Source organism: Homo sapiens, chromosome 1 (assembly GCF_000001405.40).
Source record: "Homo sapiens chromosome 1, GRCh38.p14 Primary Assembly".
NCBI classification, from domain to species: domain Eukaryota; kingdom Metazoa; phylum Chordata; class Mammalia; order Primates; family Hominidae; genus Homo; species Homo sapiens.
The window spans coordinates 57,163,866-57,186,829 of record NC_000001.11 but is presented as its reverse complement, the minus strand read 5'-3'; the positions used below and the strand labels follow the sequence as shown (position 1 = coordinate 57,186,829).

The 22,964-nt window shown below is 40.5% G+C and overlaps 1 protein-coding gene and 1 long non-coding RNA gene across 13 annotated transcripts in view; one reads left to right on the top strand and one right to left on the bottom strand.

Annotated features, from left to right (window-relative positions):
* Window positions 1-22,964, top strand: part of DAB1 (DAB adaptor protein 1) — a 1,551,949-nt gene that overhangs the window by 1,359,897 nt on the left and 169,088 nt on the right. The window lies entirely within an intron of this gene.
* On the bottom strand, window positions 611-16,847 carry LOC105378747 (uncharacterized). Of its 2 annotated transcripts, none has more exons than XR_007066125.1 (4): window positions 14,403-16,847; window positions 9,152-9,246; window positions 6,680-6,860; window positions 611-1,054 (listed from the first exon to the last, which is right to left on the bottom strand). It is a non-coding gene; the product is annotated as an uncharacterized LOC105378747 (long non-coding RNA). The 2 variants fall into 2 exon arrangements; XR_007066126.1 differs by having other exon boundaries at window positions 14,503-14,568.

Below are 22,964 nucleotides of genomic sequence, written 5' to 3'. Positions count from 1 at the left end.
TAGTTAATTTCCCAGCAAAGCATCCTAACACTCCAGACAAGCCATCACTTGGAATACAAAGTGTCTTATTCTGCTAATGAAACTTTGCTAATTATAAAATTCTTGAAGTGGGTACTGGAAGAAAAATGTTTTGCACACTTTACAAATAATATGCCTCTGTGGGGTAAATGCTGACGCGTGCATTTCAGGTTTTGGCCTTAGTTGGATATTCATAAGGGTCCCTCTTTGCGGATTATGTCAGCACAACCTCTTTATTGAATTATGGATTGGGTATTTAATCAAGGCCTGTGCCTTATTATTAGCCATGTAACATTCCATTGTTTCAATGGAAAATGGAACCTGTAAAACCTGATTCACATGAAGATCCATTGGCCCACTAATAAATAATGTTTTATAGCACACTCTGCTTTTTATATCCCTATAATCCTTATCTGCCAGAGAAGTGAGAATAAATAAGCACACCTCACACTGATCGATTGGGGATGGTGCTTGTGTCAAAGTGGTGGAGAGCTGGACACAACATGTGGGTTTTTGTGAGTTGGTTTTTCCCATACTAATCCTGGACTTGAGAGCTGGGGCTGTTTTTGGAGAAACACGGATACATATTGGAGAGAATTTACATTCTAATGTAATTGGTCAGTAAAGAGGTTTGATTTAGTTAGTAATTCTAACCACTTGGTTATACCCTAAACTTACATAGAACACGTAATAAACCATTACCTGGGCCCAACCTGCAGGGACATTGATTCACCTGGTCTGAGTGGTCCCAGGTGGTATTGATATACAGGCAAGACTGAGGATCCCTAATCTCTGCTCTCAGGAAACCAAACAGTTAATGGACAGTGATTTCGTGGCTGTGAGCTGTGAGTCCCAACTCCACAGGAGGCTTTCTGAGTTTAAAAATTGTCCACGGTTCTGCTTCTGGAATCTCGTACTCGGGGAGGGAGTTTGTTCCGGCATTGTGGCACACAGGAAAGGTCTCAACTTGGAGTCTTTGAGATACAGTGTCCTGGTACTTCCTAGCTGTCAGACACTGGAAAACTTACCTCACTCTCTGGAAAAAAAGACCAAAAACAAAAAACCAGAAACATTATTATGAATTTGGAATTTCTTACTTCGGAGACAGCATTGTTAGTTCAGTGTCTGAGTACCACCTTCCATCTGCGCTAATACTGCTGAGTGTGAGGTGCTACCAAGAGGATGTCCCTTTTTACTTCTCAAGGCTGTTTGAAGATTTAACGGGGATTATTTCCTAAAGGGCCCTCTATGCGTGAGGTTGCCTGTGAGGTTTGTCCCATTCTTGTGTCTTGGTTGCCTAGGATTCCTGCCTCTCTCTTTTTCTCCCTCCTTCTAACTCTTGAACATCTTGCATTGTCTCTCAGACTCTGTCCCCTAAATGCTCCCTTCTCTTTGCCCAGGTATTCAAGCCAGAAGCATGTACACTTAACAATCTGCAAATTCTGTCCTCCTCTATTCTTTGCCACCATTACCAACTTGTTGTAACTGGTCTTCAGGCCTCCAGACTTTCTGTTACCTGGTGGCATCATAAGTTCCAGGAGAGAGAATGCCCAGGGTACTATGGAATAACAAAGGAAGTTCCTAACATGGTAGGGGTAGGAGTGGTGATGGGACTGTGCAGAATTGCAGAAGACTTCCCTGAAGAAATGCCATCTCAGGGAGTTCGCCTGGCACAGAGAGGGGGAAGCATGTTTGGAGCAGGGGAGGAGGATGATCAAAGACCCAGGGGTGAGCAAGAGGTTGGTGGTCTCAAGAAGATCAGGATGGCAGGATCCTGGGGTGGGTTGCAATGCCAGGACAATCTCAGGATGAGAGTCAGTGAGTTTACGAATGTTGTGATCCCTGTTTGTCCATCTCTGTGCCATGGATGCCTGCGGGGTCCATGTGCTCAGTTATATTTGTTGGATCGCTACACTCCTGGAGTTCAGTGGGTGAGAGCATAACTGGTTGAGTTGGGGAGAAGCCATCCTTGACTAGGCAGTGTTTGAAATGCATCATGAAAAAGCGTCTATGGGACTTTTATGGGCACAGGAGTGAGTGTGTATCTCTGTGTGTGTGTTGCTGTGTGGTGCCAGGCACTGAAAGCACACCCAGGAGCACAGGGTTTGTGGAGTACATGATCCAGGTGTGATTTGGTGGGATTGGAGCATAAACCATGTATGAGAGAGGAAGGCTTCAGAATAGGTGGGGAGAAATGGAAATGTCGTCACCGTGTAGAATCAGCTGGCCCAGCAGTTCTTATTTTTGGTAACCTTGCATTCTTTACTGTGAAATCTGTGATAATGAGGGTTTGCCAGGTTAAGGATTTGTGGCTTTATCCTATGGGAAGCCACAGATAGATTTTTAAACAGAGGACAGGGTTGGCACGGGAGTAGCATGATCAGGTATGCACTTCAAGATGATGTGCCAGCTGCAGAGGGGAGAAGAATGAATCTGAGAAGGGCAAGAACGGATGCAGCGTAACCACTAATCTGCTTTCTCTCCCATCTAATTAAAAGAATCCTTTTTCTCCTAAATGTATTATACACTTTGACCTGAATCAGATTATTGTAGTTTGCTCTGGCCTGAAACACCTGTGGTACACAAAGGGCTTTCACCCACATTCTTGTGGAGGGTACTAGCTTCTTTAGTACCAAGACCCTCCTGTTAACAGGGTGCCTGGATGTGGGGCAGCAGGATTTCTGTGACTCCCTTTACCTCTATTCATATAATGGGCTCTTAATTCTTTTTGGAAAAGTCGTGTTGTTGATTTCTTTAATAATGGTAAGAAAAAGTGGAGAGCAGTGGCTTTATAGCTCACCAGTTAGAAAAATTGATCTGTTATTAGCTAAGTCCCCTCCCCAACATCAATCTTGTCTACTGATATCCTCTATGTCCTTTTCTGGCTTGAGCTAATGGTGTCTCCTCCAGAAAACTTCCATGATTCTTCCTTTCCCATCCTTGTCTTCATTCACCCAGCCCTTAGTTGATCTTTTCTTATATTCTTAATTGTGGTATAGCTGTAATATGATATAGAGTACTGCCTATCTCTCCTGGAAATTGTGAGTCCTCTGAGGAGAGGAAGTTTTGTCCTCATTTTAAAAATTACTTTCCCATATAGTGGAGTGCTTGGTGCATAGGTTTATTGTTCCAGATGAGCTAATGTGTAACTGGCAAGTTATTAGGAACAACCATAGTTTGAAAGTATCATCTTGGGATTCCTGCATCCAGTTTCCTCATGGACATCTCCATCAGAATGTGACATGGGACAAGGATCAACATGCCCAGGAATGGACTCATCAACCCTCCTACCCTCTTTCAAATCACCTCCTTCCCTCTCTGTTTCATAGCCCAGGACATGGAACCACATGCATTTTCTCAACCCATAATCGTGGCAACTGTTGCTTCTTTCCTCATTCATTGCACACAATATTGCTTCTCTGCTTTCATTGTCTCTGTATTTCTCCAGTGTTCCTCCCTCTCCATCTCTACAGGGTTTTGTGTCAGTGTAACTGTCTTTACCTCCAGTAGTATCTAAGCCTTTCTCTGCCTTGTGATATGGTCTCCAACCTGAGGTCTGAAAGACTTTTCTAAAATCCAGACCCATTCACCTCACCCTTGTGTTTAGAATGCTCGGCAGTTCCCCGTCAGTTTCAGGCTCTCCATAATCAGGCCCCTCACTCCCTCTTCATTCTCTTCTGTTTGTATTCTAAAATTTCACATTTTATCATCTCAGGTTAAATACCCCCAGTGCTGTCCACAAGGACTTTCTGTGATGATGGGAATGTTCTATCATCTACGACAGAACTTCTATGTATCAGTGCTATCCAGTGTGGCAGCCACCAGCCATGCGTGCCTATTGAGCAGTTAAAATGAGGCTGGTGTGACTGAACAATCAATTTAAAATTTTTAGTTAATTATTTTAGTTAATTTAAAATTAAATAGCCATATGTACTAGTGTCTCACATATTAGACAGCACAGCCCTGGACTCTGGATATACTATTCTATCCTCTACCTCTGTACCTGGGCTCAAGGTTCTCTCTCTGAAATGCTCATTTCTGCATTCTTTCCCAAGATAATTTCAACTGGTCCTATAAGAATCATCTCAGCTGTCCCCCTGCCTCCAGAACACCTTTCCTTACCCCGAGACTGGCCTGTGCTCACCTCCACTGTGAAACTAATATACGTTTTATAGTTACATTATACTATCTCTTAACACTGTCTTTTCACTGCTAGTGCCCCCATTAGAAATTGAGGTTCTCTAGGGTAGGAGATAAGTCTTTCCTCCTGGTATCCCAAGAATACAGCACAGTTCCTGCCTAGTATGTAAACAGTAAGGGGCCTTGTGATACAATGTAGAGTGCACAGGCAGTTGTGGGCTCTAGCCCCGTATCTGCTAGTTTCCAATTCTGCAGCTTCAGCCAGATCCACCTGACTGGGCCTCAATATTTTTACCTGCACATGGAGCATTATAATTCCTTCAATGTTCAAGAGATTTATTATGAGCATTACTGATAACATACAAGTACCTGGGACACTAGTAATTGATAGCTGCTATTGTTGGGGGTTCTGTAAATGTTTGAACCTCTATTACTACAATTCCTCAAGTACTTGAGTGCCTGTCAGTGTGTTGAATACTTGACTTGCAGCTGGACGCGGTGGCTCACACCTGTAATCCCAACAATTTGGGAGGCCAAGGCGGGCAGATCACAAGGTCAGGAGATCGAGACTATCCTGGCTAACACGGTGAAACCCCGTCTCTATTAAAAATACAAAAAATCAGCTGGGCGTGGTGGCATGCACCTGTAGTCCCAGCTACTCGGGAGGCTGAGGCAGGAGTATCACTTGAACCCAGGAGGCAGAGGTTGCAGTAAGCCGAGATGGCACCACTGCACTGCAGCCTGGGTGACAGAGCGAGACTCCATCTCAAAACAAAACAAAACAAACAAAACAAAAAACTTCACTTGCAATGTAACATTTACTTTTTATGACAACCCTAATAAGGCATATCTCCATTTGATATTTAAAGTTATACTCCACAGCTAGGAAGGGGCTTAGCTGGGATTCAAATTCACATTTGCCTGTCTTCAAAGCCCTTGCCAGACTTCCTTATTCCTGCTTGCATACACATTTGTACTTAATTTTAGGCAGCAATGCACATATTCAATTAATAAAGCAAATCATAAGGGGAAATAATTTTAACACAGCCAGCAGAATTTCCTTGAGCTAGTTGATTTGGGAGATTGCATATTGCATTCCTTGTACAGTATTTCCATTCCCTGTTTGCAGTTTTTGGGTAAAGAGATAAGGAAACATGTAATCCATTCCTTCAATTAGGTTGTGTAATAGATTGTCATGGGCATTTTCAAGATAAGTGTTCGATGATAGTGTTGTGAAGTGCATCGATCAGCTGCTTCTCAGAAGTCTCATTGATTATCAGGTCTGTGTAAAGCAGACAGGCTGCTAGAATCTTACCTTTGGAGGACTTAAATTTCAGTTTTGAAGGCAACTCTTAGGACCGTCAAGTCCGAGGCCTCACTGTCCTCATTTTTACAGCAAGCCTTTCTTCTGTAGAGACTCTACTGAAACCTGGACTGTGGGACATTTTATTTACACCACTGGATTCCTTTCCCTACAGCTGCTATTTGTTTTCTGAACATCACTTCTTTTCCCTTCCACTTTTATCAAGCGTCTACTACATGCATAGCACCGGGTTACATGCTCTGGAAAGACAGTGGTCACTGAGATAGGGTCAGACATTTGGCATTTGAGCAGCGGACAGAGATAAAGATGCCCACACACATGATGGTAGCTATTAGCTGTAGTGAGTAGCATTTGCCACAAATCAGGAGCCTTACACATAGATTTATGTGGGCAAGTAGGTTTGGGCATCACCACTATGGGAAAAGAATGCACCAAGTGCTATGACCATGCCAATGAAAGAGCAAAAGAAAGGTTACTTCTTCTACAGGAGACTGGGGTAGAGGAGACAGGAGGTGTTAAGAGGAGTTGGCATTTGAACTGAATATTAAAATATGACCCTTAGTGAGCCATGCAGAGAGTAGGGCCAGCTTTTGTTTTTCCATGGGAGTAAATCTGGGTCATTACGGAAGGTTGTGGGTACTCAGGAGAAGTGTGTGTGTGTGTTTGTTGTGGGGGGGAGTCCTTTTATTTGCATTTCAGTGGAAGTGTATCTAGGAAGCTAAGTAACATATTTTGTCATTGTTATCTAGGAACAAAGCTAGTAGAAGACTATCTTAGGCCAGATGATTTCAGAGGCCCCTTAAAATTACTTCAGAAAATCTTTACCCCCCATCCGCAAGTCTTGAAACCTCTCCATCAGAGCTCTGCTTTTTTAGTTTGAAGTCTTTGCTTTCAGCAGAAAAGCAAAAAGTCCTGGGTTGCTGACACATGAAAACATTAAACATTAACAATGTGATGAGTGCAGCCATTTTAAATTTTAGAGCATATACTCCTAGGGATATAACAGAATTGGGAAGTGGTGTGATTTGAAAACTGTTACTAGCCAAAACAGTCTGCATTAAAACTATTGGAGAAAAGCAAGTTAGAAGGTCTTTGGCTGGGGGAAAGGGGAAGGTGCAGTTTAGGGGTCACAGGGCAGACTCAGTGAGGATCCCCCCTTCTCCTTTTCTGTGTCCTCTCACCTAAGGCTGGCCTTACCATTTCCAAAGCAAGTTTGCAAACAAAGTTGTTCTTGGATTCTGTAGAAAAGCAGGAGTGAAGATTTACAGCTTGGTAGGAGGATTCACACTTGAGCCAGGATGCAAACAGTGTGTGTTAACAAAGGGGGCTCTTGCAGGGTAGCCTTTATTTTTCTTTCCTTTTTTTCATCCCGGAAAAACTAGGACAAAAAGAACATAGAAAAGGAAGACTAATTCCAAACACCAGAACTAGTTTGTGAAAATTGGCATGCTATTGTAATCCTCTGGTTCACAGGTTAATATCCTAAGGATTGATGTCCACCGTCTGTTCCAATGCTACTCTTGTTTAAATAGTACTTTTCCTTATGACATGTAAAGCAATTTCAATTCAATAGCTAATCATTGTCTCAGGTGCACAAACGTGTTTCTAGTATGTATTTTTTTAAAAAAAGAATTTCACCGTTTCCCCAATGGCTTTCAAACCAGGTAGGATGGAGCATTCTAGGTGATTTATTTTGATGATTTCAGTAATAAAACCCAAGGGAAAAATTGGTTCATAGTGAATACAGCCACTTTTCAATAAATGCAGCTAAAGGCCCAAGAATGAATCTGAAATGGAGACGAGATCTGCCATTTAAATCAGGGACAGATATACAATGTGCATCTGACATAAATTCTCATTGGGTTATGTTAAGAATATGGTCTGGCAGGGAATGAAAATTAAATTGACTTCTCACCTATTGTTGTCCCTCCCTGAGCTCTGCTCCTCTAGAAGTCATTAATGGCTGCAGGTACGAAGGTTTGGATGTAGCCCTTTGGGGTTTCCCCAGTCACGGAGATGTTTAGTAGATTGCTGCTTTAGGCGTTGATCCACCATTCACCTCGCTGCTGTGCCAGAATCTCATTTAAATACAAGCAGTGGGGGCCTCTTTGAGCACCACTGCCTGGAAGAGCAGCTCTACATCATTAAATAGGGTGTGTAGACCTCTTTCCTAATCCCCCCCAAACCCCATGTGCCCATTTGCTGCATGAGTCTGAATATTGAATTTCAAGATTTCTAAATGAGGTTGAAGGTCTGTTTGACATCTGCTGATGACTCTCATGTTGAATTTCCTCAAGTAGTGGATTCCCTGAGAGTCTCCTTCCCAAATAAATACATTTTACTTCTCCTATATGAAAAGCAACCTAAGTGAGTCCATTGCTTTTAGTTAAAACCTTTAAAATATGGTATTTTGCATATCATTTTCACCTATCTTTTATTCTCCAGGAGGTGGCGATGGGGGTGGGAATTGCTATCCTTTTTTTTTAAAGCACCTAATAGCTACCACACACTATCTTAGGTGCATTATATATGTGATTGTATATTTTTTTCATTTATTTTATAATACAGATAGAAGAATAGGAAATTGAATAAAACATAAATGGTTAACCTCGGAGTAATTATAAATGAACACAGATAAAACACCTACCCACATCAAGGCATTATAACATAACCAGCAGCCTGGATTTTCCCCATGTCTCTTCCCAATCATAATTACTTCTTCCCCTCTAACAGAAACTCTCCTGTCTTTCATAATACTTCCTTGCTTTTCTCTATAGTTTTATCCATAAATAAATAAATTCATGAATAGTTTCGTTAATCAGATTTCAAATTTCATGTAAATGCTGGCACAATGCATATTCTATTTTCCTAATTTCCTTTTATACAACTTACATATCTATGAATTATCCACACTGTTCCATATATTCATAGTTCACTTATTTTTATTGTGATTTAGTAACCATTATATGAATATGCTACAATTTTAAAACTCCATTCTATAACATCTGGGTTTGAAGTTCTATGCTATGACCATTTTTTTTTTTTTTGCATATATCTTGGTGTACATAAGCTTGCAATTATGGAGGATGGAATTGCTGGGTCAGAGGAAGTATGTATATTTAGCTTTAAGTAGGGTATCTATATTTTCAGCTTTATTATATATTACCAATATTCCCAGAGTGATTATTTCCATTTCTAATCTTACAAACAGTGAGTTAATGTTGGTTCCTACCCTTATCAATACTTGGTACTTTTGAACTTTTATATGGTTTTCGCCCATGGCTATATCTGCCCCTGTAATACTGTTGTAAGGCAAATAGTCATAGCCCCATTTTACAGATGAGAAAACTATATTCTCAGGTTTTTATAAACATGCCATAAAACACACAAAACCTGAAGGGAGGACAAAGGGACAAAGTCAGTAACTGAATAGTCAAGAGACATCAAATACCAAAAGTTTACTTTATGCCTATATTGTGATTTTAGAAGAGTATAGACTCTGTGGCATCCAAAGATCTGATATAGCTTATATTTTATTGCTTTGGAGGTGAAGAACTTTTGGAAAAAGAATTCTAGAAATGGCCTGTACTTTGATCAGATTAGGAAAAGAAGGTGAAAAACCAAACCAAAACAAAATAAAAATAAGAATGATGATAATCCTCCACTTACCTTATATGGAATAGTGATTCTGCCCAGATACTGGACTGAGTAGTTTCCGTAACTTATTACTAGTGTCCTTTTCCATGGCCATGCGCTTTAGAGTTCTTGAGTGAAATAAGAGAAAAGGCAAAGACTGCTTTGGTTTGCAGAGTCATGGGAGCTTTTATTATGGCTTCAGTGCCTGGATGTCTACTACCTAATTCTATGTGGACATTGTAAATATAGGGGAGGAAAAACATCTTTTTTTCCCTCTACCCTCCTAGTTTCTCAGGTTGGAGCCTGGAAAATTAGGCTGACAAAAGACAGATTAACAAGAGAAAAGCAAATGCAAGTTTATTAACCTGTTTATCCTACACAACATGGGAGTGCTCAAAGATGACTGACTCAAAGGGGTGGTTAGAACTTGGGTGTATGTATATAACATCTTAACAAAGAACAATAAAATTTTAGAATAGTGACAAGATAAGGGAAAAGGACTGATTTTCTAGGGCAGCAAATCACAGAAAGTTAAATATATAGGGAAATTAATAGAAGGTAAGTGCTGGTTGATAAAGTCAGCTATGTAGATTCCTTTGGAGTGATCTTAGGGCTAAGTTGTCTTGGTGATGGACTTCTGTCCCTGCTGGTGGGTAGAGGGGAGGACACATTTACAAATTTATGTCCCGCTTTTAGGCAAATGTGGGTAGTCTGAGGGCTTTTTTTTTTTTTTTTTTTTATATCTGCTGCTGCTTCTTTTTTTTATCTGCTTCTTCCTTTAGCTCAAAATAATCCTTATGCCAAAGTGTTCTTTTTTGGGTGGCATTTTCTGCTATTCTCCATGGACAAAGTTCATATTAGAAAGATAGATAAACCGCTTCCTCATCCTGCCCCTGTGACCTTATTACTTGGAGATGTTTGCCCCCAGAAGGTCTCCTCTCTTCTCCAGGTGAGTTTGCTTGCAAATCTTTGCCCATAACCAGAAGGATCCAGATTTTACTAGACCTTTAGCATTCAATCCCTCCCAATGTTAGTGAAGCAAATCAGCCAAATTGTCCTAGTAATACAGATTTTACATATCATGTACCAAGAAAAGAATATAATCATCTAAAACAAGATTCAGATTATGGTGGAGGGGTTTTCGTTTAATATATGATTCAGTTTGGCTGTGTCCCCACCCAAATCTCATCTTGAATTGTAACTCCCACAATTCCCATGTGTCATGGGAGGAACCTGGTGGGAGGTGATTGAATTGTGGGGGGCGGGTCTTTCATGAGCTGTTCTCTTGATAGTGAATGAGTCTCATGAGATATGATGGTTTTAAAAACGGGGGTTTCCCTGCACAAGCCATCTTGTTGGCTGCCATGTGAGATGTGCCTTCCACCTTCCATCATGACTGTGAGGCCTCCCCAGTCAGGTGGAACTATAAGTGCAATAAACCTCTTTCAATTGTAAATTGCCCAGTCTTGGGTGTGTCTTTATCAGCAGCATGAAAACGGACTAATACAATACAGAAGGATATTCTATAACATTGGTTAATGCTGAAACTAAAATGTCATAAAGGACCACTGAGGGAAGCTGAGAATACCCCCATCCTAATATACAGCCTCTTGTTTGACCCTTGCAGCAGTCCCATGAAGTACCTCTTATTATGCCACACTATGGATGGTGTAGCTTTGCTTTAGAAAGGGTCAATAACTTAAAATTACACACCTATAATATAACAAAGTCTGCATTTGAACCCAGGTCTGTCTATGTGGTAATAAACTGCTATGCTATAATGCTTTTAACCAGAGAGAAAAAATCAAACGGGAAAATCCAGTCTACTCAGAATATCAGCCTGGAAGTACTGCCTTTCCTGAAAATGTGGCTTTACTGGGGCTGCCATTTTGATGGGTTTTTAGCAAAGCGCCCAGTACCTGGTACGCTCTGCATTGTCCAATAGCATAAGAATTCTGTTAGCAGATAGCAAGCACCTGAATCATCTGGAATTTGTACCAGAGGACTGTTATCTTTCTGAGAAAGTCTCCAAGTTTAGCCATTGTTATGCTATTTTATAGCCCTATTATTTCAGAGCAGATACGCCATGTAAATGGTTAATATTTTCCTAGTGTTCACCAAGGAGCTACATCCTATAGTTGTAATTTGGATGTAATTTTTTGTGGTTATATAAATACGGCTCTATTTGAAGTGGGTTGAATTAGAAAACTCATGAATAAATTCCTTGACATAATCAGAATTATATGGCAAAGAATTGACCTACTTTGCAGGAAGGCTCCCCCAGAGTTCCTTAGCTGATAGTATGTTAACCCAACAGAGAAATCTTCCTGCTAATAGCACTTATCAGAGAAGATTGGAACCTGTAGTTTGTCAGGTACTCAAAAAAAAAAAAAAAATTTAAAGTCTGAAATAATAAAAAAAAACCCTGCCTTTCTTTAAATTTTATTTCAACTGGAAATATAAATGTACATCCAGTTATAGATCTTTTTATCACAAGTTAGCATAAGGACTTTTCTTGACATTGGAATACAGTTTGCTAATTGGAGTGCTGCCTCTTGGTAATGAAGTGTATAAGCATAAAACATATATTCTTTGATTTCCAGTTTTGATTTCTTTAAAGTGGAGTAAGGATCTTAAAGCACTTGGAAAGTAACCAAAATGTCGCGTCCTTCTGAGTCCGTGTGCTCTGTTGGGGGAGTCATGGAGAGTAGCATTTTGTTTTAACAAGTTACCCTTTTAAAATTATTTTTAAATATTGAACTTGAACTTCATTTTTCATAGAAATAACTTCCTTTATTTCTGTACTCATGTTTCCCTGACTTACAACATACCTAACTAATTATATACTATCCCAACTAGTACAATTATCATAAACAAATTTGGGAACAGAAGTGTATGAGATTCTTAGTAAGCGTCTAACATAGGTTTTTGATTGAAACAGAAATCAAGTAGCCTTCCTGGCATTCCTGTTCGGAGTAGAGCCAGCATCAGATAGTGAGAAAGAAGAGTGGGGGTCAATCCAAAGCAGTGGTGAGCCTAACAGACCTTCTCCTGTACTTCACCTACAGAGCTGTTCAGAGGACTCAAGGCAGTAAAGTAAAGCATATAAATAAAGTGACTGGTATTTTAAAAAGTGATGAGTACAAAGCAGGATCTCAGAAAATTATAACTTAATCTGTTCTTCTTGTTTCACCCTGTCAATCCAATCAATACATTATTGTTGGATTGTTATGATTGGTTTAAATCTCTAGTTTTTCTACTAGATTATGAGCCTGCTGGGAATAAAGGGCATATTATAATCATTTTGTTCTCTTTTCTATATTGCTTAGCACCTGGTAGTCCTTCTGAAAATGCATTTAAATTTATTGCAGTCAAGGATTGGCATAACTTCTAGGGGACAGCAGGACAATCCTGGGCCAGGTCTGTATCTGGTATTGGAATGCCCAGAGCAGATATTATGGAATGGTTGTAGAGAGGGTGGGGTAAGTCATGAAATACCAATACAGATAGCAAGTCTGGAAGGCCAGTGATGGAATACTGATAGGAATTGTGGGGCAAGAAGTTCTAAATCAGACCAGTTTTCTCCAGCTCCCACTCTAGGAATTTCCTTCCTTTTGTTTCCTTCTATCCTGCTTCTAGCTAAGATCAGTTTATCAAATTTCATGTAGCTGTTTCCTGCCAGGCAAGAGGATGCTTGCAGAAGTAACCAAGCATAATTCCAATCCAGGGACTTCATAAGGGCAGTGATCATACCTTGTTCATTTTAAATATAAAAGATAAATTAGATATTTAATTGGGAAATCCCATGAAATTTCAGACTTACAAATCAAACAATTAAGAACTCCATAGCCCCCTGCAAGGAATGAAATTATTGTAATTTTTCCTTCTTGGTGAAAAAAAAAATGTACTCTCTAATTGCTGGGAACTCTGTTAATAAGAATCAAATCCTCTTTATCTAAACCATATCTAAAAGGTGAAATGCTATTTGGGCCCTATGCCAAGTAACAAAAGAAAATGTCTTATATGAAATGTTTGAGAGAAAGACCATTTTTGTTTCCCGATTAAGCTTGCCTTAATTTAAGAAAGCTCTCTAGTGCTAGCTGTAGAATGTAAAGGTTGAGTATCCCTTATCTAAAATACTTGGGACTAGCAGTGTTTCGGGTTTCAGATGTTTTTGGATTTTGGAATATTTGCATATACATAGGAGATATTTTGTGACTGGCACCCAAGTCTAAACATGAAATTTATGTTTCATATAATAACTTACACACATAGCCTGAGGATAATATTATACCATATTTTTAATAATTTTGTGCATGAAACCAAGTTTTGACTATGTTTTGACTACGACCCATCACATGAGTTCAGATGTGGAATTTTCCACTTGTGATGTCATGTTGGTGTGCAAAGAGTTTCAGATTTTGGAACATTTTGGATTAGGGATGCTCAACCTCCATTTTTCTCCCTCATCTGCTTCTTTCTCTGGCATTTAGAATCTCTTGAACTGGAAGCTGTTGCTGGCTTTAATACCATCCTTACTTGGTATTCACACTGCTTTGGGGGTAAGTAGCTGGTACCCAGGGTGTGGCACCTCTGATCACTATACCTGTGACATACAGTCCTGCTTTACTGATGCTTGGAGCTTCAGAAGAACCTTTATATTATGAAGGACTAATACTTCATAATTGTTGTCAGTGGCAACAGGTAGACTAGGCACCCAAGCATTTTACTATGGCCTTGATAGTTCAGGTTAGCAGTATGTAGTGGAAAGGGCATGGACTGGGTGATTAAATACAGGCTGAAATGTTAGCTCCATCCTTGCTGTCTATGCATGCTATAACTTGGATGTTTGACCCCTCCAAATCTCCTGTTGAAAGTTGATCCCCAGTGTTGGAGGTGGGGCCTAATGGGAGATGTTTGGGTCATGGGGCAGATTCCTTGAGAATGGCTTCATACTGTCCTTGTGGTAATGAGTTCTCATTCCATTAGTTCCCAAGAGAGCTGGTTGTTAAAAAGAGCCTGGCACCTCCCAATCCTGATCGCTTCCTTTCTTTCTCATCATGTGATCTCTGAACACGCTGGCCCTCCCTCACCTTACACCATGTGTAGAAGAAGCTCAAGGCTCTCACCAGAAAACAGATGCTGTCTATGCTTCAGTCTATCTACAGCCTGCAGAACCATGAGCCAAATAAACCTCTTTTCCTTATAAATTACCCAGCCTCAGACATTTCTTCATAGCAATGCAAATAGACTAAGACAATGCCATTTGGCCAAATCATTTCACCTTACTGAGCTTCCACTTCTTTATCACTAAGAAGAGAAACATGGTCTTCTTTCTTATGGAATTGTTTTGTAGATTAAATGAGCTAACATGAATAAAGCACCTGTGGCATGGGTTGCATTGTGCTACCCCCCAGTCCTCATTCATATGTTGAAGTCCTAACTCCCTGTACCTCAGAATGTGACCTTATTTGGAAATAGAACATTGCAAATTTAATGAGTTAAGACGAGGTCATAGTGACTTCACTATGACTGGTGTCCTCATAAATAGGTGAAATTTGGACACACAGATAGACACACAGGGAGAACATCATGAGAACTTCATGTGAAGATAATAGCAGAGATCAGGATAATGTGTCTACAAGCCAGAAGATGCCAAGATTGCCAGCTACCCATCAGAAGCTAGGGGAGAGGCATGAAACAGTGTCGCTCCCAGTCTTTAGAAGGGCCCAACCCTGCCGGCAACTTGATCTTGAACTTCTAGCCTCCAGAACCATGAGACAATACATTTCTGATGTTTTAAGCCACTCAATTCATGGTTCCTTATTACTGCAGCCCTAGCAAACTAATATACACCTGTCACTTAATTTTATTTCTTTACCTTTCTCCCACCACATAACTCCTTCTTGTTTCCTTTAAATATATTCAAATCAGCATGCTGCAGGACATAAACTGTGCAGACATAAACCTAGGTGTATAACACATCCTATTTCTGACCCTCTACGGAGAACATAGAAGAGCTGTCCTGTTTTCCTATGATATGTAATATGTATTTTTTTAATCCTCTGGGTAGTGCCTGCAGTAATCTTCTGTGCACACATCCTGCTGTGGAAGATTTGACAGTAAGAACTGCCTCATGAGGCCAACCCAAAAAGGAACAGCAGATATAAACATGTCGCCATTCTTGTCATTTTGAAACAACATTATTTAAAGTGTCCCAGATAGTTGGGAAAAGAGGAACTCTTTTCTTCTAGGCCACTTGTTTCTCCTCTAGCAGGGAAAGATCTTTGCAGGTGTTGCAGAGACAGCAGGAGTTATCAAGGAGAACAGGTTTCCTGCAAACATCCTCAGTGATTTGCATTGTACTAAGCAAACACAAACCACCTCACTTATTCATATTAATTGAGCAGTTTTAAAATTTAAAGTAGTATTCCTTTGGGGTTTGTGATCAAGGCTGTGCCCTAGTGCTTCACTGGCATCTTCTTGAATTTGGCCCTATTTGATACAGCTTTGCTTTCTGTTGATGTTACATGGAAAAACCTCCACCTGGCTAGACAATAGCACCAGTATTGCTACTGTCAGCAGCTTTATTGTAAAGAAATTCCAACTCTGGGAACTGGCAGCACTGCATCCATTGACTCTGGGGAGATTCTTCCAGCCACAGCACAAAATACAGCTTTCTCTTTTCTACCAAGCCGTATCGAACTCTTTGCCTTGATCTAAGGACCTGGGATCTCCACTCCTTCAAGTGTTCTAGGCAGCAGTGAGGGAGCCAGGACCCTGCAGAGCAAGCCACCTGCAGGTTGCAAAATTCCAGCAGAGATTGGATTTTTGAAGTATCAAAAGCCTCACACCTGTGGGTGATCTCCACGCAGATACCGCGAGCAAGAGTAGCCAACCCCTGACCCCTCCAAAACTCACATCTGTATCAGCCTTTCAGGGAAGAGAATGATCCCTTTTGTTTTCCTAGACATTTCAGGAATAAAAAGAACATAAGGTGTGCATAGGGTTGAGAGAGAAAAGGGACAATGGAGCCATATCAGAGAGCACGGACGTTGGACTCAGAGACCTGCATTCCAATCCTGCACCTGCCAAGCTTCTAGCTGGGAAACCTTCTCAAAGCCCCTGCACCTCCCTGAATCTCAGTTTCTTTATTTATAAAGCAGGTTAATAGTAAGTACCTGACAGGTCTGCTACCAGGATTATTTGCAATGTGTTTGTGAATATGCCTTGCCCTTGTGTGCCTACCTGTCACCCTCTTTTCTCTCCCTCCATCTCTTATGTGTCACATTTATTAAACACTTATTATGTGCCAAACACTTTGCAAAGTATGTAATGTTCATTAATCACATATTGCAAGCAGGCAGTGTTAAAGGAAAAAATTATTTAATGATACTTGTAAAGCATGGTAAGGGCTGGGCATGGTGGCTCACACCTGTAATCCCAGCACTTTGGAAGGCCGAGGCAGTTGGATCACTTGGGGTCAAGAGTTCGAGATCAGCCTGGCAAACATGGTGAAATCTTGTCTCTACCAAAAATGTGAAAAAATTAGCCAGGTGTGGTGGCATGCACCTGTAAGCCCAGCTACTCAGGAGGCTGAAGCAGGAGAATCGCTTGAACCTGGGATGCAGAGGTTGCAGGGAGCCGAGTTCACACCACTGCACTCCAGCCTGGGTGACAGAGTGAGACTCTGTCTTAAAAAAAAAAAAAAGAAAGAAAGAAAGAAAAAGAAAAAGGCATGGTAAGATGGTAAGGCAGACTTTACTCAGAATCATCACAGATATAAGGACAACTGCAGTGGCGTCTTGCAGTTGGGGAGAGAGATTGGGCTCGCCTTTAAATATAGCATGGGCAAGAAGGAATTTATGGCTGAGGAGCAGGGTAGGAGTCAGTTAATAGAAAATTACTAAGAGGAAACATCAGGGGAAAAGGAGACTCTGACTTAACCACCTAAAAGGATTCTTGCTGAAGACAGGCCAGGGAAGCCAGATACCACCTGGGGATGGTGGAGGATAAGGAGCCTGATTAGTTATTGAGGATGATCAGATATTGAGGATTGGGGGTTCTGGCTAAACTGACTTTTGCAGGGTTCTTTTGCTACAATTGGATGTTATGAGGAAGTACACAGAAGGGTCTAAGAGAAGTTTCAGAGGCCTGATGAAAGCATGGCTAAGCAAAGAATCTTTGTCAACAGTATCTTGTTAATGGTTAAAAAGGACATTTCTTGGGGTCAGATAAATTCCCGTTGGCTATGTAACCTTGGTCAAGTCTCTTTACCTCTTCAAGCCTTGGTTTCCTCATCTTTAAAGTAGAGATAATAACAGTGACTACATTATGGGATCACTGAGAGAAATAAATGAGGTGATGCTTGCAAAATATTTAGCACAAATCCTGGCCCTTGCAAGTGTTCTGTAAATATGAGTAAAGATAATAATAAGAGATTGTTGAAGAGTGGGTTTCTCTATAACTTCCTAAGGGATACATCTACCTGTTAAGGTTGTCAGACAACTCAGTCGGTGACAAGATTTTAGTTGTGTTTAGAAAAAGTTGTTTTGTATATCAGTTTCTATGGTGTAACATTTGTGTTTCTATTTCAGTTTAATTATTTGTCTTTATTCTATTATTTTTAAATGTTTATTTACTTATTTATTTATTTGAGGCAGGGTCCCACTCTGTTGCCCAGGCTGGAGTGCAGTGGCATGATTATAGCTCACTGCAGCCTCAAACTTCTGTACCTAAGTGATCCTCCTGCCTCAGCCTCCTAAGTAGCTGGGACTATGGCACATGCCACCATGCCTTGCTAATTTTTTAAATTTTTTGTAGAGAGAGAGTTGCGCTATTTTGCCCAGGCTGGTCTCAAACTCCTGCCCTCAAATGATCCTCTTGCCTTGGCTTCCCAAAGTGCTGAGATTACAGGTGTGAATCACTGCACCCAGCTGATTTCTCTCTATTTCTTAAGAAACTGTTCAATATGAACTAAAGAGAAAGGGGCATTTGGTAAAGCCTGAGAATTGATAGATTGTGAAAGGGAGATCAAGGGAAAAATCGCATTTGGGGAGGAACTACATTTATTACTTAAGGGTGAACTGGGAGGCGAGACAACCAAAAAATCTCAAGACCAGGGAAAGGGAAGGTGACAGGTACAGAGGTGACCTGGCAGACAGGATAAGGGGAGCTCTTGTTCTTGACAGAGGAAATGGTACAGAAAAATTCACAGATGTGAAGACATATGGGATGTACTCTGGGACTTGGGCTTCATTTGGCTGAAGCAAAAAGCATTTGCAGGGGAAAATGGGAGTAAGGATAAAGAAATGAGGTGTCATTCCAATGGGAAAGACTGTGATCTCCACAAGAGCAGGGAATTTATCTATTGGGTTCACCTCCATCTCTCTGTTGCTTACTAGTAGATGTACAATAACTATGTGATGAAATATTTTTAAAAATTGATCAGAAGTTTTCATTTTATTGGGTTTGAAGGGAAGTGAGAAACCACTGACATTTCATTTTGAATAATGGAATGACGTAAGAATACACTCTCTGAAGAGTAATCTTGTCATTTTCAATCAGATGGATTGGAGGAAGATGGAATTGTAAACAGGTAGACCAGTAGACCATATAATTATCTAGGGGAGATATGAGTGTGGTGACTGTTACGACATTTTAGAAATATTATCTGCAACTTTTACAATCTCTGCTAGGGGGATTTTAAGGAAAAGAAGAAATCAAAAGTCTCTCCAGTGTTTCTAGCCTGGACAAAGTGTAGACTGCCTGTGACCTTCATTCACTGGACAAATGTTACCTACATTATGCTGGATATTTTGCTGGACACTGGAGATTTAACAATGCTAAGAATTACAACAGGTATACCAGACCTGCAAGTCACTGCACAATATGCTGAGTGCTGTGGCTAATGTTGCCACAAATGAGTTATTAGATTACGGTGACTACACTTTAACTTGGCAGGGTAAGGCTACACAGGGGAGGTGGCAGTGGAACTGAGCCTTGAGTGGGAAAAACTGGTTTGGGTAAAGGAGAAATTGGTAATCTCAGTTCTGGACAGATTAAATCTGGCCGTTGTAAAACATTCAGATGTGAGCATTAGAAGGCAGATTAAACGGTGGATGTAGAGCTCAGGAAAGGAGCTGGAGGTAAATATGTGGACTTGGACAGCATCTGAGAGAGTGTGAGATTGTCAAGTGAGGAAAGACCCTGGACACACCACAAGAGAATGCTCCATTAAGGATCTAGAAGAAACAGTGTGCAAAGGATGAGTCAAGAAAGAGGGAGAACCAAGATAGTCGTAGAAGCATACAAGGGGTGACTCTTCTAAGAAGGAGGGGGCAGTAAAGTGTCCAGTTGCATGCAGAGACTAAAGAGTGAGATGGAAGAAAGAACTATTGGAGTAAATAATTCCTTGATGACTTTACCTTCCTGAGAGCATATCCCATGTCATCAACCCTCCATAGTGGTCTTGCTGTGGCTGTCTCGTTTGTAATGATTATGGAACCAAATTATTTAATTTGTAGACTATCAAGTTGCTTTGATATTTTTCACTTCTTATTGATAACTTTTCCTAAAAGAGTGGGTGAGAGACTTATATTCCCAGCCTCAATTTCCCTCACTTCAACCAGAGTGAATTTCTCTGTAATGCAGTTATGACTATGTAATAATGTAATGTTCCTGAACAAAGACATACTTAATATGAATGGAGAAATCTGAGCTGGCACTCAAATTTCTCCAAAATCTGAGCCTGAACTGCACAGGTGGTGGAGCATGGTGGAGAGACTATGAACTTTGGAGTCAGACAGGCACATTTGAAAGCAGCTCCCCTTCTTCCTGGCTGTCTGACTTGGACAACTGATGCCTCTCTTTGAGTTTCTTTTCTGCTCATGGGCACCATTCCTGACTTATGATGGGTGCCCAATAATGTGGCATAGTCACTACTGTGCAGAGTTAGATGTAAGGTCTTTTACAACAGCTTTTCTGGCCTTGAATTTGCCTTTAACCCTAGTTGGGAATGGTCCTCTCATCTCCTCACACTCAGATAAATTGTGCGTATTATTTGAGACCTGACTTCAATACCACCTCTCCCTCAAAACTTTCCCAGACAACCCTGGTTCAAAGTCATCTTTTCTTTCTCCAAACCCCTATGATACTGCCCAGTATAATATATATGCTAGTTATTCCTGGGCTGACCTGGGCCATGACTTCTATTGTTCTGAACTTGTTTTTCTACCTTGATTACTTGTTTCAGTTTTCAAAGGTTTATGTGTTACTACTCTGACTTGATTGTAAATTCCTCGAGGTTATACAAAGGCCTTATAATTTAGTGCACCTATAATTTGTATCTCTCTTTTCTTCTTCTTTTTTGTTTTTCAATTCTTTGCAAGACATGGTCTAGTAGGGAAAATACATTATTTGGAGTCAAGGAGAGCTGGATTTGAATTAATTGGCAGCCAAATGAAGGTTGCATGATATGGAAGAAGTTACCTGTCTATTGTAAGCTTTTTTAACTCCTCATCCACCAAATTAAAAAAATAACAATACCTACCTCATAGGGCTATTGATGGCATAAACATAGCATAATTGCTTCTCCATTATGATGTTTATTACCACCTACTTGGACCTTACTGAGTAAATATGCAATAATGATTATTTCCATTTGTTAGGATTCCTTTAAAAGATTTGTTCTGGAGTCCTTAGCATCCCTTAGTCCTCCACTGAAATGCTGCCTGATTCATGCAGCCAGCCCTGACCCATCCATCAGAATGTCTAACTCTTCCTCGGTGCTTCCTTTGCAAATTGGTGGCACCTCTATTTACATTTCATCTTAACCTGTGTTTCTTCCAGTAGACTGGGGACTTCTTAAAGGAGGAAATTTTATCTTACTTATCTCCACAGGGAGAAAAGAGAGGTAGAGTGGAAAGCAAACAGATGTGGAAACACACATAGCTGGGGTGAATTCTGGATGAATCACATCTCCTTATTGGCTATGTGAACTCTGGGCAAGTTTCTTGATCTCAAAAAGCCTATTTCCTCCTCTGCATAAATTGAGATCATACTACCTCTTAGGGCAGTTGAAATTTTTCTTCAGGCTAAATGAAAAGTAATGTATGTGAAAATGTTTATCACTGTATCTGGAACACAATAGATGTTTAATAAATGGCAGCCCCAGCTCCTTGCACAATGGCAGTCACATAAAAGATGCTCACAAAATGTTGACTGAATTAAACTAAATGGGATTTAACACTTATTTCTGTTTTCTATTGATTGTTTTATCCTATTACTGCTCATTATCAAAATTTGTCACATTTTTCTTCCAGGCAATTTGCTGCCATGGTTTAAGAAGTATTAAGATCATGTTTATAGACCATATTGAGCTCTTTGGAAGGGAGGTACTTTTTTGAAATTAGCAAGGCTGTGTAGGTTTTCATGCTTTTGTTATCTGATTAAAAAAAAAACCTATTTTTTCTTTTGTTTGCAGAAAGGCGACAAAAAAAGTTGTTTAGGAGATAATTGGCTGTTACATATTAAATTAATTAAATGCTAAGCCATGTTGGGGAATGAACTACAAAATGCGGCAATTTGAGGTCTGGGGATGAAAGAAGGGGAAAGATCATCCAACCGAAACTTTCTCTTTTTATGGCTGTATTGCAGTTGGAAAGCTAAGGAGGGAGAATTAGGGTAAACCAAGGGTCCCTGGGGCAGCCAACTGTGGTGAGACTGTCTCCATCCCTTCCCTTCAGCAAGTACAGAGTAACTGTCTCCCTGCCACCAGATATACAGAAACTCATGTCTGGTATTAGTGAAAGTTTTCTAGTTGCAAGTAACAAATCAACCTGAGTAGACCTGACTGTAATAGGAGGGCATATTATAAGGAACCAGAGGTGTCTCACAGAACCCAAGGAAGGGAATGAGTAAGCAGAGCCTCTGCAAAGATGACCCAGGAATTTGGAATCAGCAAGAGCCCCAGCAGTGCTTTCTCTCTGTGGTCACTTCTTCTTTCAGAACATCCTTTCTCTTTGCCTTTTCATAAGATTGGCTTCCTCTTAGCCAGGCCAATGGCAGGAAAAGATGACTACTCAGAATTCTACATTTACATGTTACGATGCTGGTCACTAGGTGAGATTGACTCCTCTCTCTGCTTGAATACCCAATTCCCCAGGAAAAGGCTGTCCCTAATCAACACAGCTTGGATTGGTGTCACCATCTCCAGGTAAAGTCATGCTGTATAAACATGGTCACTGTGGTTCTATTGCTGGATGGGAGGGTCAGCTGGTGGTTCAATCACCAAGATCTGGAGGGTATCTCAAAAGGTGTCTACTCTTGATGAATGAGACAAGTCCCAGCTCTCATGAAGTCAGTGAGATAGAAGCAATTTTAAAAATAATAAATCAGTTGAGAAATAAACAAATCCCCAAAATTCTGTGGTGCTTTTATATGGTCATATCTGTGCTAAGAAGCAGCAGCCATGGTTTTTCAGCATTGACATAGTTCAATCTGAAATTTGGCACTAAATTTAAACTGAAAGGAAAGGAACTCATATTTATGGAGTGTCTATCCACCAGACAGGCCAGGCACTTTCCCTTGTCCTCATTTCATTCCGAGACCTCAAACCTCATATTGTCTCTTCCATATGATAAATGAGGAAATGAAGTTCCCAGAGAATGTGACTGCCCAAGGTTACAGTTCCAGGCACTGAAACTTAATCAAGACTGGACCCAAACTGGCAGAGCAGGCATTTGGAAATTGCTCTCTCTGCTCTGAATCCTGCATACTCTCCACACAACCAGAATTTGACAGGCCTTCAATGGAATATTAAGGCACCAGGTTCTCTTGGCTTTTG